The following is a 17,109-nucleotide window of genomic DNA, read 5'->3' on the forward strand; positions in this document are numbered from 1 at the left end:
TTCTGCCTCCCGGCATCTGCTCCTGAGTTTTCACTCTTCAGCCTCCCCTCCCAAGGCCTCCTTCCTACCCTGGCACTGGGCTTCTTGCCCCGTCCCCCTAGAATCCGTGGCACAGGGGCTTTATCTGTGTGGAGTCTCTACAGACGGTTAGAAACACAGAGTCAGCTAGAAATTAAGCAGTAGGCAGCTGTGATGTTTTTTGACAGCCTCATTTCTAAAACCCCTTCAGCAACCCCAGTCAAGGAGCTTCTCCCTCTAGACTCCAGCCTCCTGCTGAGTCACCTGCACCGTCTCTGCCTTCCTCCCCTTCCTCACATCCTCCCTGGCCCCATCTTCCAATTCCTCTGAACTTCTGCAGAGCAGCCAGCTCTTCCTCCAGCTTCAACTTCCCCACCCCAAGCAGGTGGGGCATCCTGACCCTGAGCAAAAGCAGTTCTCTCCCTAAGAAACACCGGTGACTTTTGTTCATGGCACTCCATGGATGCAAAGCTCTGAGTTCTGTTGAACAGGGACTCACCTACGAGTGGTGGTGCTATCAGCTGAGACGGGAAGCAGCACTCAGTAGAAGAAGAAAAGGCCTGGACTGGTGTGGGCATGCACTGGCTCGTGAGAAGCAGGGAAGGTCGCTCTTATGGGTCCCGTTTCTAAGTGACGTTCACGGCCTGGCTGTGTGTTGTCCAAGTGTTTTTCTTTCTTACCAAACCTTGGAGGTCTGGGAGCACCATATATGTCACACATGTGGGCAGGACTGGCCGTCGGGGCCGATGGGAGCTGCCTGGCGCACAAGTCCCTGGGGATGCCCATAAGTGCCTCACGTTGGCACTGAAGAAATGCAGACAGTGTGCCGCTTTGGGGAAGGCTTGTTGTTGCTGACTTTACACACACACACATATATATATACATACACACACACATATATACACATATATATGTATGTATACAGAGTGCTATAAAGTTATTCTTATTTTGTGAGTGATACAACCTTATTATTTAAAAATTAGGAAGAAAGTTAAAAAGAGGGTAAAACTCATATCTCTTCATGAGAAATGATCACTGTGACTATTTCAGCATACTTCCTCTGGCTCTGAGAAGAATCTTTAGGAAATAAGGAGCTTTTCATCTCCAGGGAGATGCCAGGGTCAGTTTCACCCCAAGGCAAAACCCTTCTCATTTTATGGGGCCAGATGCTGAAGATCAGAAACAGTTCGATCCTGCCCCGAGAAGGTGTCCGCCTCATCCTTGGAGTTAATGTGGCCACTTCCTAGGCAACTCAGAGGCTTTATGGGTCCTTTCGCCTCTTAAAATTAATTGAGTTATTCAGTAAATACAGGTTAAGCATCCCTAATCCAAAAATACAAAATGCTCCAAAACTGTTTTAGTACCAAAACGACCCTTAAAGAAGGCACTCACTGGAGCGTTTTGGATGTTGGATATCAGATTAGGGATGCTCAGCCAGAATGAATTCTGCAAATATTCCAAAATCAAAAAAAATTTGAAATCTGAAACACTTCTGGTTCCAAGTATTTCAAATAAGGGACACTCAACCTGCACTTAGTGAGTGATGCCAGGGAGTGGTACCAGTCACTGTTCTAGGCACTGAGGGTGCGTTGGAGACAAAGTGACAGCAACGTCCATGCTTCTTCCTCGCAGAGGACAGAGCCATGAGGAGGGAGAGTCTCTTCACTTCTCTGGGCCTTAGTTTCCTCCCCAGGCAAATAAACTGAGGAGGCTGTACCCAAATAAACATCGTCAGAGCTTAGGGGAATCATGTGGAGTGCCTGTTTGTCTTAAACACAAGCATTTCTTTAAGGTTCCTTAAAAAAAAAAAAGAAAAGAAAAGCTAAAAATGTTAATGACCTCTGCATTTTATTTTCTGGTATGTCCAGGTTTTTTGTTTTTGTTTTTAGACAGAGTTTTGTTCTGTCGCTCAGGCTGGACAGATCACGCAGTGGCATGATTTTGGCTCACTGCAACCTCCACCTCCCGGATTAAGTGATTCTCCTGCCTCAGCCTCCTGAGTACCTGAGATTACAGGCACCCACCATCACAGTCAGCTAATTTTTGTATTTTCAGTAGAGATGGGGTTTCACCATGTTGCCCAGGCTGGTCTTGAACTCCTGACCTCAAATGATCTACCCGCCTCAGCATCCCAAAGTGCTGGGATTACAGGCATGAGCCACTGCTCCTGGCCATATGTCCAGGTATTTTTAAATATAAAAACAAAATTTGGCCAGGTGCAGTGGCTCATGCTTGTAATCTCAGCACTTTGTGAGGCTAAGGTAGGCAGATCACCTGAGGCCAGGAGTTCGAGACCAGCCTGGGCAACATGGTGAAACCCCGTCTCTACTGAAAATACAAAAATTAGCCAGGCCTGATGGCCCATGCTTTTAATCCCAGCTACTCGGGAGGCTGAGGCAGGAGAATCACTTGAACCCAGTAGGCGGAGGTTGCAGTGAGCCGAGATCACACCACTGCACTCCAGCCTGGGCAACAGAACAAGACTTCATCTCAAAAAACAAACAAACAAACAAACAAAATAAACCCCACAAAATTTAAAATTCTTTGTAGAGTAGAAATGATGCTCTGGGAAAATACCCCCTGGGCAGGTGGTGGCTGCACATCCACTCTGGGAAAGACTCTTCAGCTCGAAGATGGAGACCCTCTTTTCCTGCTCTCACACAACATGGGGATAACGTTGACGCGTTCTTGGTAGGCAGTGCAGTAGGCAACATATCCAGACGCTGGGTGCCAGTGGTAGGCAGGAGAAACCACCGAGTGGGAGCAGATTTTCAGAAAAGGGAAACTAGAAAAAAACTTCCCAGCTGTGTCTCAGACAGGCCCTGTGGTCTGAGCTCCCATCCTTGACAAATGAGATTACTGAATGCGTGTTTAGCAGTTCCAAACGCTATTCATGATCCGACGTGACCCTCTAGTCTCTCAGACAGAGCGCAGCCCTGTTGCACAGGTGTGGAAATGGAAGCAAACAGGGAAGGTAACTTGCTGAAGGTCACACAAGCAGGACCTCGAACCATGGCCCCTAACACCGATCGGGCACTTCTTCCCCTGTTCTGTTTCTCCTCTCTGGGACCTAAAATCCCTAAAAATTCCCTAAAAGTGGAGGTGTGCTGGAAGAGTCACAGATGGCTCTGTTTTGTTTATCAGGAAATTGAGCAAGGTGCCTAACGGAAACCAAAAGGGCACCGGGGCACGTACACATGCCCTGACTTTGTTTCTCTCTTTGGCTGGTGTAACTGCTGCTACATGGACAGCGGAGCACACTGATGACTTCACAAGACTGATGCTGAGCGCCCCTCCTTGCGGCAGATCCTGCACCTCCTTCTTCTCCACACTCACTTGCAGGCATAGGTTGCTGCCTGGCTGGTTCCATGTCACCGGGTCTCTACCCTGAGCCCGTTGCAACACAGTCAGGGCTCCCAGGGTAAACTATGCTGGGAGTCCCCTAGGAAGAAGAAAGGGGAAGGGCTGAATTCTAAAGAAAGCCCAAGACCTCTTCATGAAGCACCTCTCTTTCTCTGCTTTAGAGATTGCCCCAGGGCTGCTGGGGCCGAGCACCAGCTCCCCATCAAGGCCCTGGAGAGGCGCTGGCAGCTTTCTGTCTTCTCTGCAGACCTTTGGTTCCTCCTGCCCCTCGTCCTTGGCAGAAGGAGCCTCAGTTTCCCAGTCTGTAAGGTGCCAATAATCATAAGCTACCTCAATGGTGTTTTCCTTTGAATTTTGAGAATTTTGAGAATGGAAACTTGACTATCTTCATCTCTCTTCCTATACCCCCCATTGACACGTGAATCAGCGTTTCTCAGAATACTGCAGGTTTGGAGTGTGTGTGGCGGAGGAGGGCGGAGCAGCGTGGAAGGTGGAGAGGTGGGCGGTGTCGGGGATATCAGCAGGGCAGTGGGCATTGGAGGGGTGCCCTTGGCCTCAGCCACAGGGCCGTTCCAGAGCCCTGCGTGGGCGAGGCCAGGGCGGCGCGTGATGGTGCCCTCCGAGAAGCACTGGGACCAGCAGGAAAGGCTGCCTGCCGGTGCGCAGGAAAAGGGAAGAGAGCCGGGGAATTGCTTTTTGACCCGTAAGGGAGCGTTTCTTGGTGGATGGGGAAATCAAAAAATTGACTACGGTGTAGTCAGCTACATCGTGTACCAATTTTCAAATACCGGTGAGATCAGTAAAAAGAGAAAGGGAAGGAGATCACAGATAGCATGAAACCAAGCCATCAATAATGAAAGTACCACTGGTTACTGAGCAGCGTCTGCTTCTAACTGACTTTGCTGGGGGAGGGGCGGGACAGGTACAAGCAAAAACAGCAACGACAGCGCAGCAGTTGCTTCATGTGAGTAATAATTGAATGGTACGAGGCTCTTCCACATTCATGTATTGAAGGCCCAAGTGCGGCCAAGGTCTCCCTGGTTCCTGAGGTTTGTTTCATGCTGGGTTCCTTATACTCCAGATGTCGGGAGGGACCCTCAGGGGCCGAGGTGCCCACACCTGTGCTCCCTGCATGACAGACTTCCTGGGGTCTTGGCTCCCAGTCTGTCCTCATCCTCTACACACACCCAAATGTGGAAGTCACCCCCAGCTTGAGTGAATCCCACACCCTCAGACCATTGGCCATGATATTACGTGTGTTGCAAAATATCAAGGATTCAGCTGAGAGGCTCTCGCAGTGGACGGCTCAGAGGCCGAGTCACACACTGCCCAGGCTTTCCCTGGGGGGCCCTGGCCCGGGGGCCCCCTGCCTTAAGATGCCCTTCCTCTCCTCCCTCAGTCTCCCACTGTCTTCAACTCGGGCCCTCACTCTGCTTATCATAGACCCCAAAATGCCTCTGCTCAAACAAATGGCTTGACCTGTTAGCGATATAGAAAAGTGAGCGGATCCTTTGAACATGTTCGTTTCTCCTTTTCTCCACCCACCCTGCGCCGTTTCCCATTTCTCTAAGTGCCTGGAATGTGTGGAGAGTCTCCTGATGATATGATGCCAGCTGTGCCCAGCTCCCTGGAACACAACATAGGGAATTAACCAGTGTGTTCCTCTTTCCTCCGTTAGTGAAAATGAGTACTATTTAATAATGCAGTGACACAGGATTTGTTGCTGTTGCAGCACTTGCATGGCCATGCTCACCTTCACACCACGCGGAGGCCAAAGGCATTGTTCCCTCAGCTGCGGCCCTCTCCCCTCAGCAGCCCTGGCCATTCCACCATGGTGTAGTCCTCCTGCCCTTCTCCATCCTTCTGAATCCCATTCTGCCAGCTCCAGGGCTGCACGCCCTCTGGAATGACCACCCGCAGCTAGCCCAAGCTGCTCCTGCTGTTTATTTTCTTTGCACTTTGTTTAATTATTTCCCACATCTTGGTCCTCTCTCCTTGATTTCAGATGGATTGCTGAAGACAGAGTGTATTTGTGGCTCCGCTCAGGCTGTACACAGACAGGGGCACTCAGCATCCGTGGGTCGTATTTCATTCTAGGGCCAGGAGCGCGGGCTACTGCGTCAGTGGGAAAGACGTGGAGATGAGTTCATATTTACCTATTTCATGGTGAAATCTGCAAGGTCCCTAAGGCAATGGCTTTCTTGAATGGTGACAGCAACTGATGAGTCTGAAAAATCTTTGTGTCTCACTTAGGATTTTTGCACAGCTGGTTTCATAATTCAGTTATTTTGATACAAAAGCGTTCTGCTCTAATTAGTAAAAAAAGACCAGGCGATAGTGTTTGCCTCTTGTTAGGTGGCTGCCCCATCCATGCCTTTCATTTCTGGAGTAGGTGCCCAGGAAATGTTTACTGAGTTGCACCAGTGAATGAACTCATGATGCCGGGATTAGAAGGGGAAGCCCTTGGAGCCTCCTTCTGCCCCAGTTCTCAGCGTCCCTGGTGTTCAGTAAGTATTAGCTGGTCAGTGGAGTGCTGTGAATCTTTCCTCCTCTGGTCTGTTGTTCAGGTGATGGGAGTTTTGCAGACTACAGTGGGGTGCGGGGGGGTTCAGGAATCGGGTGCAGGGGCAGTTATTGTTTCCAGCTGGGTGAACTCCCCGTGGAGAATAGTCAGGGAAACCCTCGCCAGACAGTCTAGCAGATCGAAAGGCTCTTAGCTCTTCAGGAACCCTGTTAGTGGGCAGGGGGCTGGGGGGCAGCACTCCAACAGGAGGGTCCTGTGCTGCCTCTCCTGCATGGCAGTGCCGCTGCTTTACCCCTAAACACTTCTGCACATACTTCCCAAACAAGGACATTCTCCTGCATAACTAACTCCAATACCATTTCACACCAGAGGGCTTTGTGTGCGGCTGTTTTTGGCACAGGAGTCCATCTTCGTGCCAAGCTACATGCCCCTCCCCATTCGGGCAGCTCTAGGCAGGCAGCACTCATTGTCTGTGTGGCTGGACAGAGAGCTGGGACTCCCTAAATCTCTGGGTTCCCAAGAGACAGACCTTCAATGCTCTGAGCACCAATGATGTGGCTGGTTTCCCAGTGAGCTACAGTTTTCTGCCTTCCAAAAAACAGTGATTTAAAGAATGGGTGAATAAGATAATGTAAAATGGTGCAGCCACTGTGGTGAAGAGTATGGCAGTTCCTCAAAAAAGGAAACAGAATGACTGTAGGGTCCAGCAGTTCCACTTCTGGGCATCACACAAAGAATGGGAAGCACAGTCTCAGAGAGATACTTGCACTCCTGTCTTCACGGCAGCTCTGTTCACAATAGCCGAGAGGCGGAAGCAGCCGAGCACCCACCAACAGACGAATGGATCAACATTACGTGGTCTGTGCACACAACGGCCATCATTCAGCCTTCAGGATGGGGACATCCTTACACGTCGATGAACCTGGAGGACATTTGCTCAGTGAAATAAACCAGTCACCAAAGAGCAAACACTGTATCATTTCTATATGAGGTTCCTAGAGGACTCAAATCCAGAGAGACAGAAAGAAAACTGAAGATTTCCAGGGGCTGGGTGGATTGGGGAGTGGGGAGTCGGTACTTCATGGGGACAGAGTTTCAGTGTGGGAAGAGGAAAACATTCCAGAGATGGATGGTGGCGATGGCTACACAATCAGGTGAATGTAATTAATGCCACCGAATTGATAAAAATGGTTAAAATGGTAAATTTTATGTCGTGTATTTTACCACAATTTTTTTTTTGAGACAGTTTCACTCTTGTTGCCCAGGCTGGAGTGCAATGGCGCGATCTTGGCTCACTGCAACCTCTGCCTCCCAGGTTCAAGTGATTCTCCTGCCTCAGCCTCCCAGGTAGGTAGCTGGGATTACAGGCGCCTGCTACCACGCTTGGCTAATTTTTTGTATTTTTAGTAGAGATGGGGTTTCACCATGTTGGCCAAGCTGATCTTGAACTCCTGACCTCGGGTGATCCACCCACCTTGGCCTCCCAAAGTGCTGAGATTACAGGCTTGAGCCATCGCATCCAGCCCCACAATTTTCTCAAAAGAACAATATGTGTGGAGAGGATTGCAAATTCATTTAATAATGACACTTAATGTTTTCATAGTATGTTTCCCCTAAAAATCTCAAGTGTTTCATCTCATGTCACCCACCAATCTCTGCTTGAACTAAGCTATCTACAAACATGAGAAGCAGCTTCCTATGGGGAAAAGAATATAAGAAAAAAATTGTGTCTCTGTCATGTCGTACCCACATTACTTAGCCTCTCTGAGCTTGTGTCTTCACAGAGAATATGGCATCTTATGCTCAGGCATCAGATGAGCAAAGCCCTCTCTCACTCCCGTCCTGCACACGCCTTGCACACACTTCCACACAGGCATCAGATGAGCAAAGCCCTCTCTCACTCCCGTCCTGCACACACCTTGCACACACTTCCTACTTGTCAGAGTCTTTTTAGTTTTCTCACACATTATTTCAGAGTAACTTAGCAATAATAGCACTTACAGGCCAATTATATTTGTTTCTTCTGGATTCACTTTATTCTGACCAAGTAGACTGTCATAAACAGATATAGACAGAAGACAGGGAAATACTGGGTAGAAGCGGGCGGTTCCCTGGCAAAGGCCCCAGCCTCAAACCTGGAAACCTGCAGCCTTACACGAGAATGAGCATTCTCGTTTTCATGCCCAAAAGTTGCCTTCTGGCCCACCATGGCCCCCATCCTGTACCCATATAAACCCCAACCCACAAGTTCCACTAGCAGTCAAGGAGATGAACTGAAGAGCAGAAGATCAGCAGAATGGCTCAGCAGAAAGAAGACAAGGGGCATCTGAATGTCGAGGGGTGTTCGACTGGGGATAGTAAGAGAGGAGATCAGCCGATGATGGCCAAATTCCAGGGTAAGATAATCTTCCCACTCCCTCCTCCTTCCAGCTCCCCATCCATCCCAGTGAAAGCCGCCTCTACCACCCAATAAAATCCCTGCATTCATCCTTCAAGTCCGTGTGTGACCTGATTCTTCCTGGACATGGGACAAGGACCTGGGTATTAAGGGGGCACTGAGCTGGTTAACACTTAAGCCGTCTGTGGATGGCAAAGCTAAAAGAGTGCACTGTAACACACGCCCACTTGGGCTTCAGGAGCCTCAGGCACACACTCCTGGATGCTTCCATGGGACTGGAGCCCAGGGGTGTTCACCCCAGCTCTTGCACCAGCCCATCTGCGTGCTCCCCCTCCCATAAGGCTTTTGAGCAGGTGCCGCATGAACAGACAAGCCACACCGCTTTTGCTTGTCCTGCAAGGGGTCTCAGGGAACTCTCCTGTTTCAACATCATCTAGCAAAATAAGTCAAATCAACAGGTTTCCTCCAGAGTCCTCATGGAAGTCCTCAGTGGCAGAGCAGCCCACGTGCAAGTGCCTCAGATGCACCGGCCTCTTGGCCATCCTCATTGTCCTCAGCTCACCTGTGCTGAGGGGGACTCTGGGGAGAGAGGTGGAGAGGGACTCAGTCTTGAGGAAGGTTGGCTAGGGGCCAAGAAGGGAGAAGGTGAATAGGAAGGTCCATGGAAGGACTGGGCAGTGGGACTCATGGAGTAGTGAGGGTTGACATCCTCTTTTCACACTGCAATCCTCGCATGATGCCCTCCAGCCTGAAGAGGTGCATTAATCATGCGGACTTAATTTGAGCTGTGCCGAAGGAACAAAGGGAAAGGTGAGGAACAAGGCCTACTGGGCACCATGGCAATATGGGGGAAGGCTGGCAGCCAGGGCCAGGACACGGGATAGGAACTGCCAGAAGACATGCGAAGACCCACTGCAGGCCTAGGGATGGGGTCTCAGGTGGACTGATTCACCTCTGTGGCCCCAACATCTCTTAAAGTGCTCAGGAGAGAGATCCAAACCATCTTCAATAATTTTAAGTCCTCAAGCCACCTCCAAACACATACACCAGTAGCAACGTGGCCTTGGGAAAAGGACCCCACTGGTCCAAGTGTCAGTTTGCTCACCTGCAAAACGGGAATGAAGATAGTATCTCCCTCCTGGGTGATGCTGTGAGGACTAAATGAGATTATGTTTCAAAGAGTTAAACGCAGCACGGACACTCAGGAAGGTCTCACTGAATAAAGGTCAGTTTTTATGAAGCCACGGGTGATGGTCAAGACTCATGGTATGCGCTGCCGGAGAAGATGAACAATTAGTCAAATTAGGAAAACAACTGATTGGCCAAACAAGGGGACACAGGTCAGCCCAGGCAGTTATTTAAATTATGTAGATCAGAAAGAAGCCTGGCTGTTCGCTTGACTTCTCAGTTTTTTAGTCTGCAGTGGCAGGTTTGGCAGACCACTGGTCTCGGGAGATTGTTGTAGCATCAGGAAGAGCATGCAGTGTCCCCTCTGCCAAGACCAATCTTGGCCAACAGTGGGAATAAGAAGTGATGACCAGTGCCTGGTTTACTGGCGGGCTGCCATGAAAGAAGGATCCTCCCAGCAATCATTGCAATTCCCCAAAGTGCAAACTTGGTCAAGTAGCCAGAAGGTGTGAAAGGCACCTTTGCTTGCCAGCCTGTGGCAGCCAGCTTAGATCTCACTATGAGCTTCTGCTGTGGCACAGGCTGGCAGGCTGCTCCTGTACTGACTCAAGGAACCATGACGACCTTCTGACTCACCGGCACCTCTTCCTGCTGCTTCTCTGTACAACGAGTCCCCCTCCCCAAGAGCTAACCCATGATAAAGATCACAACCAACAGTTGTTAAACGTGTACTAGGTGTCAGGCAACTACTAGGTGCCAAGGTGTTATTTCATCATCACGAGAGCCCTGTGAAGTGTGTGCACTTATTATACCCTCGCTCTGCAGGAGGAGCCCGGAGTGCCACTGGGTAAATGGCCCGAGACCACAGTTTCTAGGTAGCAGCTAACGTGCAAACCCAAACTTGTGGCTCCCAAGTCCCCATTCTTAACAGCTGGACAATGGAGAATGAACAGCTCTCAGCCCACATAATGTAGTGTTAGGATCAATATCGTAGTTAATAGATTAAATAAGGGCCCATCTGGTATGATTTGAAAGGCAGCTAATGTCTGTTTATTTAAAACAAACAAGCAACAACTACTAAAATACAGTCCATATTTTCTGAAACTCCTGTATAGCTCATTTCTTTTCTTTTTTTTTGAGACAGAGTCTCGCTCTTGTCGCCCAGGCTGGAGTGCAGTGGCGTGATCTTGGCTCACTGCAACCTCTGCCTCCGGGGTTGAAGCGATTCTCCTGCCTCAGCCTTGCAAGTAGCTGGGATTAGAGGTGCCCGCCACCATGCCCGACTAATTTTGTATTTTTAGTAGAGACGGGGTTTCACCATGTTGACCAGGCTGGTCTTGAACTCCTGACCTCAGGTGATCTGCCTGTCTCGGCCTCCCAAAGTGTTGGGATTATAGTCATAAGCCACCACGCCCAGCCAGCTCATTTCTTTAGATTAAGATCTGAAGACTCTATGCAAATGTTACCTGCTAGGGAAGGAAACTGTGCTTATTAAATATGTTCTACTGCTGGGGAACTGTGCTGGGCCTCCCTGGTCATTCTGAAGCACGTAAAAGTCTGAGAGCCACTGCCCTGGGGGCGTCTTCATGCTGCCGGCTTCAACTACCTTGTATGGATGCCCCAGAAGTCTCTGTTCTGTTTCCTGAGCTCTACATTTTAAAATACTTTCAGACATGCTATATGCTTAAATGTATATTTTATATAGATATATATTACATATATATTTATATATTTTTGGTACTTTTTTTCCCTGAGATAGACTCATTATCCGCGTAGTTTGACAATGTCTTCGCCTAGCTATTCCTCTGGCTCTTGGCAAAACCTGAAAATCAAACTTGTCTTGTCTTATCCTAACCAGGCCGTCTTCTGACTTCTCTGTTTTAGTCCGTGTCTGCACCATTTTCTCCAACACCCAAACTGGAAAACTCCCGTCATCTGGGGTTCTCCCTTCAGCTGTGCTCTCCATGTCCAGGTAGTTGTTGAATGATGTAGATCCTGTCTTTGGAAGGTCCCTTGGTTCCACCCTGTGGTTTCATCCTTGTTCGAGCTCTGCTACCAGCAACCATCCTTCCCATCCCTCCCACCACCACCAGGGGGCTCGGCCAATGGCCTGTGCTGATGGCGCCTGCCTGGGCGCCAGCCTCCCTCCACCTACATGCCCTTCACCGCTCTGGTCACGCCCTTCCCCTGAACAGGTAGGGCTCATCCACAGAATGCCTCTAACCTACCCCACGTCTTCTCCCAGCCACGTGGGCCAGATGCTGTTTCCCAGGCAAGCCTGAGTCTTCCTGTCCTCACCGCAGCCCATGAAGTTCTCTCCTTCCTTTCCACATAAACACCCTTCATTTGTCCTCTTCAGGACCTCCCAGAGGCTCACATTCACCAGAGCCTTGGCCAGTTACTCTTAAACAGCTCTGTGCCAGGTCTAAGAGCAGGCTTGGGGACGGGGCACCTGAGCCTGAACCTGAACCCTCCACTTAGGAGCTGGGTGGTTACAGAGACGTCAGCTCTGAAAGAGGGTTGGGCTGCACTGAGGGGAGGATCTGGAATGGTGGGAATCAGGCTGACATGGATCCAGATGAACATGTATTTGAAATTTGGCACTGCCCATGGCTAGCTGCATGGCCATGGTCAAAGTCACCAGGCTGTAATTTGATTTTCTCATCTGCAAAAAGTGGGAGCGATAATGGCTCTCTTGGAGGACGGTTGTGAGGGTTGGAATGAAATGTCGAGCGTGTGGTGCAGACGCCTCCACAGCGGCAGTGCTCCCCAGGCTCTGAAGCATGGAACCCACGGGCTGTGCTTACCTCGTCAGTCCCTCGGACCCCCTGAATGTGTTTGCAGACATTTGCCATGCTTTCTCTGGGTTCAAGATTGTGTTCTCCAAGACTAAGTTGTGAGTTCCCTGCCACAGGGACTGTTTCTAACTTATCTTTGTAGAGCCTAGTGCACTGCCCAGCACACACAAACAGCTCAGGAGATGTTGGATGTAGTTAAATTCAAGGAGAAAAGAGGCACCCCAGGCAGGTGTGAAGCGTGGGAGGGGTGCCTTTGGAGGCCCTGCTGGGGAGGCCCCGGGGACAGCCAGGGGGCAGACTGAGAACAGCCAGGCCTGAGGGACCAGACCAGCTGGTGATCGGGGGTTTTTAGAATTTGCCAACCTCTTGACTGGCCTGGTTGGGCTAGATGCTGAGAGGCTGTGAGCTTCCCTGTGGTGGGGGTCCTGAGGCAGCAGGGCCTGCAGCCAGCCCGCTGGAGTTCAAATTCAGGCCCCGCCCCTCGCTAGCTCCCTAGGCCTGGGCTTACTTACCCATGCAGCTAAGTGAGGGTGACGTGACTCGCTCCACTGAGCCTTGGAGATGACGCCGTCTCTGTTCATTGCCTGCCGTGAAGCTTCTCGTCTTGGAAGGTCATGACTGAGAGGTTTCAGGGGAAATGTTTGAAGGGCAGGATTAGCCTAATCTTGAATCCCTTAGGAACTCCACCATATTACATTACCTCTTTGGTTACAGGAAACCCCCCTCAGGGCCCCTGTCCTCCCAAGGGCTATTAATGCAGATACCAACTACTGGAAGTGATATGCTCCAGAGGAGGCTGGTGACCACCTGCATTCAGGTCCCTGTGGACTGGAGGGACAGCAAGAGGTCACGGCTGGGCCGTGCTACTCAGAGTCCCGCACAAGCCAAGTCATCCCACAGCCACCGTGTTGTTGCCCAAGTGAACACCTGAAGGGAGCCTCAGCCGGGGCTTGTCCGACTCCAAAATCCATCCTCTGTCCCCGAGGCCAGGCTGACTCAAAGATGGAGGGGACCTCGTTGTCTCAGTTCTCAGGAAGCTCGAAGGCTAATCTGTTTTCGCAGAAGAAATGAACTCACCAATTGACATGATCAGAAGGAAGAATGACCCAAAATTCAAATCTAAAAAGCCCCAAATTCCTTACTAATAGACTGCCTCTCACCAGCTTCTATTAAGTGAGAAAACATCTTTTCCCCCCACTGTTTTTTCTCCCTTCTGAAAAGAGGAACAGAGCAAAGACCTGAAAAAAAATCTCTCCACATAGCTGTTGCCCAGCCACCTGTACTTTGGAGAAAGAGCAGAAATGGGTACGAAAGGCTCCTGCTGTCTAATTAAGGCTGGAATTCACATCACAGAAGCAGAGCTGGAGCCAAGGGAGCTGTGCAGGGACTTCTAGATCCCACCATGCACAGTAGGTGTGTGGGCTCCCAGGCAGGGGCACCGGATCTCCTGAGGGAAAGGGCCCCTCCAGCACCAGCTTGCATGCTGGAGGGAGGAGCTGCAAAGGGCCTGGAGAGGCCACGGCTTCTCCTTGGCAGGGTGGGCCCAAAATTTGGTACTGATCTGTTGGCTTCAGATATAGTTAATGTGTGACATCAACACTTAGCATTGAAGGGGCTTAATATCCCCACCGTAGCACCCAGTTATATCCCAGCAGGTTTAATCTGCAAGAAATGACCAGACTGGAAGAAACAGGGCAGCCCATCATAGAACACCAGCGCTGGAGGCACCTTGGAGAGGTAGTTGGTCCTACCCACCTCATTTTGCAGGTGGAGACTGAGCCCCAGAGACGTGAAGCAACATGCCTAGGGTCACACAGCAACAGCACACAGTAGGACCAGGCCAAATTCTCTTGCTCCATCACTTTGGGAACAGTGCAGCACAGCACCAGCAGGAAGTGAGGAGCTCCTGTGTGGACCCCGAGCAGCCCTGCAGATATGGTTATCTCCAGAGTCACGGCCCTCACAACCCTCTCCCCAGCTTCTGAGTCTGTCCCTTCTTAGCCTGGAGTAGTGAGATGGATGCACCGGCATCTTTGACAGCCACGGTTGTTCCGATTCATGTCCCCCCGCCTGCACCCCCGCTCGCTTCCCGCTTCCCGCTTCTGTCCTGCCCACACAGAATGGGGAACTGGAGCCGGGGCCAGGGGCTGAGCCGCTGTGTGAGCCCGAGTGATGAGTCAGCGTTCATTGAGCAAACGGAGAGAGGCAGAATGAATGAGTAAATGGTCTGTATTTTCTTTGCTACAATTTAATGTCCTAATATATAAAAGTGTGTGAGATTTTAAAAATATGAACACCAGAAAAAATTATCTCACATATCTGCACTTCTCTAATCATATATAATCTTTTCATGAATTTGGGTTGCATTTTATATCCTTAAATATTATATTGTACATTGATTCATATAGGTCCTGTATTTTTGTTACAGTTATTCCTAAGTATTTTCCCCAATTTTTTTAAATATTTCAAACTCACAAAAAAGATAAAAGAATAGTACAAAGAACCGCTGTTTGACCTTCACTGTAGATTGATGAATTATTAACATTGGCCGTATTTGCACTCTCTCTGCCCCTCTCTCTTTGTTTTAGAAACCACTTGAAAGTAAGTTGCACAGGCCATATTTAAAAATTTCTGGATGTTTCCTAACAACAAGGACATTCTCCTACAAAACCACAATATTATAATCACACCCAGGAACTTTAACGTAAGTTTTAAAATATAGTTTAAAACGGCTTTAATATATAGTTTAAAATAGTTTTAAATATAGTTTGATTCAGAGCAGAATGTGTTGAAGTTTAAAATACAGTTTGATTCAGAGCAGAATGTGTTGAGAGAAACTGAATGCACGTAGCTCAGTTCCAGTTGCTGAAGAAATTCAGCCTTCCCCTTCTCTAGCCTGCTTGACTTGAATCAGCAGTCTTGAGTTTGCATTATTGCAAGTCCTAGGCTCTGCCGTCCCCCAGCCCCTCACCTCGGTGCTCTGCAAATGCTGAATTTCTACGCTGTAGGCACCTAGACCCTTAAGAAACAAGCCCAAGCCAAGCTACCTGCTTTCTCGTCTCTGAGGCCAGCCTCTGGCCTCCCCAGGCAATGTCATGACATTAGACTAACTTTGGAGAAGTCTGGGAACTGAAGGGAAGCGAGACAATTCTTGTCACTCTGAAAAATATATATAGCTTATTATATTTCACGGAAGCCTTTTGTTTTGAACTCAAACGCAAAGCAGACAGTGGTGCAGGCATATTTTACACATGAGTGCTGTGCACGGATCTGCTCTATCTCCCCTCCCCGTGTGCCATTTCTAACTTCATGGGTGCGAGTCATGCTCCTTGTTTCCTGTAAGTGACCCCACGAGCTCCACTTAGCTCGTTGTGTGAAACTACAGCTGAGCAGTAAGGAGAGGAGGAGTGATACCACAAGAAGAGAAAAAGCAGCTTGCCCAGACGGCTGACCATGAAAATGGCCACGAACATGAAACAAGGACCGTTCATTAAGAAAAAGAGACTAGCAACTTTAAAAAAATTAAACAAAGTTGCCAAAGACATGAAGAAGTCATATGTCGCCACCTCTAGATTACTGCTATTCAAAGATTACTCCTGTCTGTGAACTTCCATAAAAAGACAGCCATGGTGAATTCAGAAACCACAATACCCTGCCTTTAAGAATTGGGGTGCTCAAATGGGATTAAGGTGCATTTGAGAGTGGACCCTGCAGTCAACAGAGAGCTTTGATGTTTGTGGTATCAAAGTCCTCAATTTCAGTTATTTAAATGCAAAGAGTGGCATCTGGGGAGAGAACACAGTTTCTGATAAGAAACCTATTGGTTTTTTTCCGAAACTGGTAAAATTGTAAAGGGTTTGTAATTCCCAGAGCCGAAAGAGGTATATTCTACGAAAGGAAGTGAAGTTTGTGGTTCTGTATTTATAAGATGACTAACAATAACAAGAAAAAATGAATGGACTGCACATGCACTTTGACAATGCGAAACTTCTATTCTGGCTTGTTAATAATTGTTTTTCTTTGTCTCAAAAGAAAAAAATGCAAGTGAGATAAAAGAAAAACTTCAGCCAAATTAAATGAAAGGGACTTTAATTGATCAATGAACGATTCATGAATCAGCCAGCCTTCTGAGCCAGAGTAGGCTCAGAGACTCCAGCGCAGCCACATGGAGGAAGATTTATGGATAGAAAAAGGAAAGTGACGTATAGAAAATGGAAGTGAGGTGCAGAAACAGCTGGATGGGGTACAGCTCGGCGTTTGTGGTATTTGAACATCGTTTGCGTTATTTGAACATGATTCAAACAGTTGGCTGCGTTTTATTGGCCCAAACTGAGTGATTGGCGCAAGAGCAGTATACAGTTCATTTACACCTCCGCTTGTTATAGTTCATGATATACCGAAAAACCTTCAGGCTAAACTTAAAATATGTAAGGAGGCAGCTTAGTCTAAACCTGATTTAACAACTGTAAAGATGGACGGTTGGAATCAGCACAAACTACTGCAAAGTATATTTTATAATGGCCAGAAAGAAAGCATTCCATTTTTCAGTAGAGAATCAAAGTTTTAAGAGCTTTTAAACCTAATGGATCTGTGGAGAGTAAAAATCTAGGTAGCTGCATTATCACAATGATTAAATGGACATTGGCTGCAGGAAGAGTGTGTTTGTGAGATTCTCTTTGCGCGTGTGAACAATCAATATCTTTTTCCTTTTGCTGACAGTGGAAAATATCATAATGATACATCCAATTACATACTTTTCTATCTCTTACTCTTTAATGTATTTGCCTGAAATCACATGTTTGGCTTTCCACATCCGCATGTGGGTCTGGGAGTAGAAATTCTGAGACGGCTTCACATAAGGAGGCTTCTTCCCTCCCACC

The 17,109-nt window shown here is 48.6% G+C and overlaps 7 annotated features.

Annotated features, from left to right (window-relative positions):
• Positions 3,486–3,535: an enhancer, noted in NCBI's record as "active region_23800". NCBI's record gives its function as "activates an Ori minimal core promoter by ATAC-STARR-seq in GM12878 lymphoblastoid cells {active_cell/tissue: GM12878}" and the evidence as "EXISTENCE:reporter gene assay evidence [ECO:0000049][PMID:35858748]".
• Positions 4,347–4,546: an enhancer, noted in NCBI's record as "active region_23801". NCBI's record gives its function as "activates an Ori minimal core promoter by ATAC-STARR-seq in GM12878 lymphoblastoid cells {active_cell/tissue: GM12878}" and the evidence as "EXISTENCE:reporter gene assay evidence [ECO:0000049][PMID:35858748]".
• Positions 10,002–10,161: an enhancer, noted in NCBI's record as "active region_23802". NCBI's record gives its function as "activates an Ori minimal core promoter by ATAC-STARR-seq in GM12878 lymphoblastoid cells {active_cell/tissue: GM12878}" and the evidence as "EXISTENCE:reporter gene assay evidence [ECO:0000049][PMID:35858748]".
• Positions 11,234–11,473: an enhancer, noted in NCBI's record as "active region_23803". NCBI's record gives its function as "activates an Ori minimal core promoter by ATAC-STARR-seq in GM12878 lymphoblastoid cells {active_cell/tissue: GM12878}" and the evidence as "EXISTENCE:reporter gene assay evidence [ECO:0000049][PMID:35858748]".
• Positions 12,344–12,393: an enhancer, noted in NCBI's record as "active region_23804". NCBI's record gives its function as "activates an Ori minimal core promoter by ATAC-STARR-seq in GM12878 lymphoblastoid cells {active_cell/tissue: GM12878}" and the evidence as "EXISTENCE:reporter gene assay evidence [ECO:0000049][PMID:35858748]".
• Positions 13,214–13,263: an enhancer, noted in NCBI's record as "active region_23805". NCBI's record gives its function as "activates an Ori minimal core promoter by ATAC-STARR-seq in GM12878 lymphoblastoid cells {active_cell/tissue: GM12878}" and the evidence as "EXISTENCE:reporter gene assay evidence [ECO:0000049][PMID:35858748]".
• Positions 15,075–15,154: an enhancer, noted in NCBI's record as "active region_23806". NCBI's record gives its function as "activates an Ori minimal core promoter by ATAC-STARR-seq in GM12878 lymphoblastoid cells {active_cell/tissue: GM12878}" and the evidence as "EXISTENCE:reporter gene assay evidence [ECO:0000049][PMID:35858748]".

Source organism: Homo sapiens, chromosome 6 (genome assembly GCF_000001405.40).
Source record: "Homo sapiens chromosome 6, GRCh38.p14 Primary Assembly".
Classification (NCBI taxonomy): domain Eukaryota; kingdom Metazoa; phylum Chordata; class Mammalia; order Primates; family Hominidae; genus Homo; species Homo sapiens.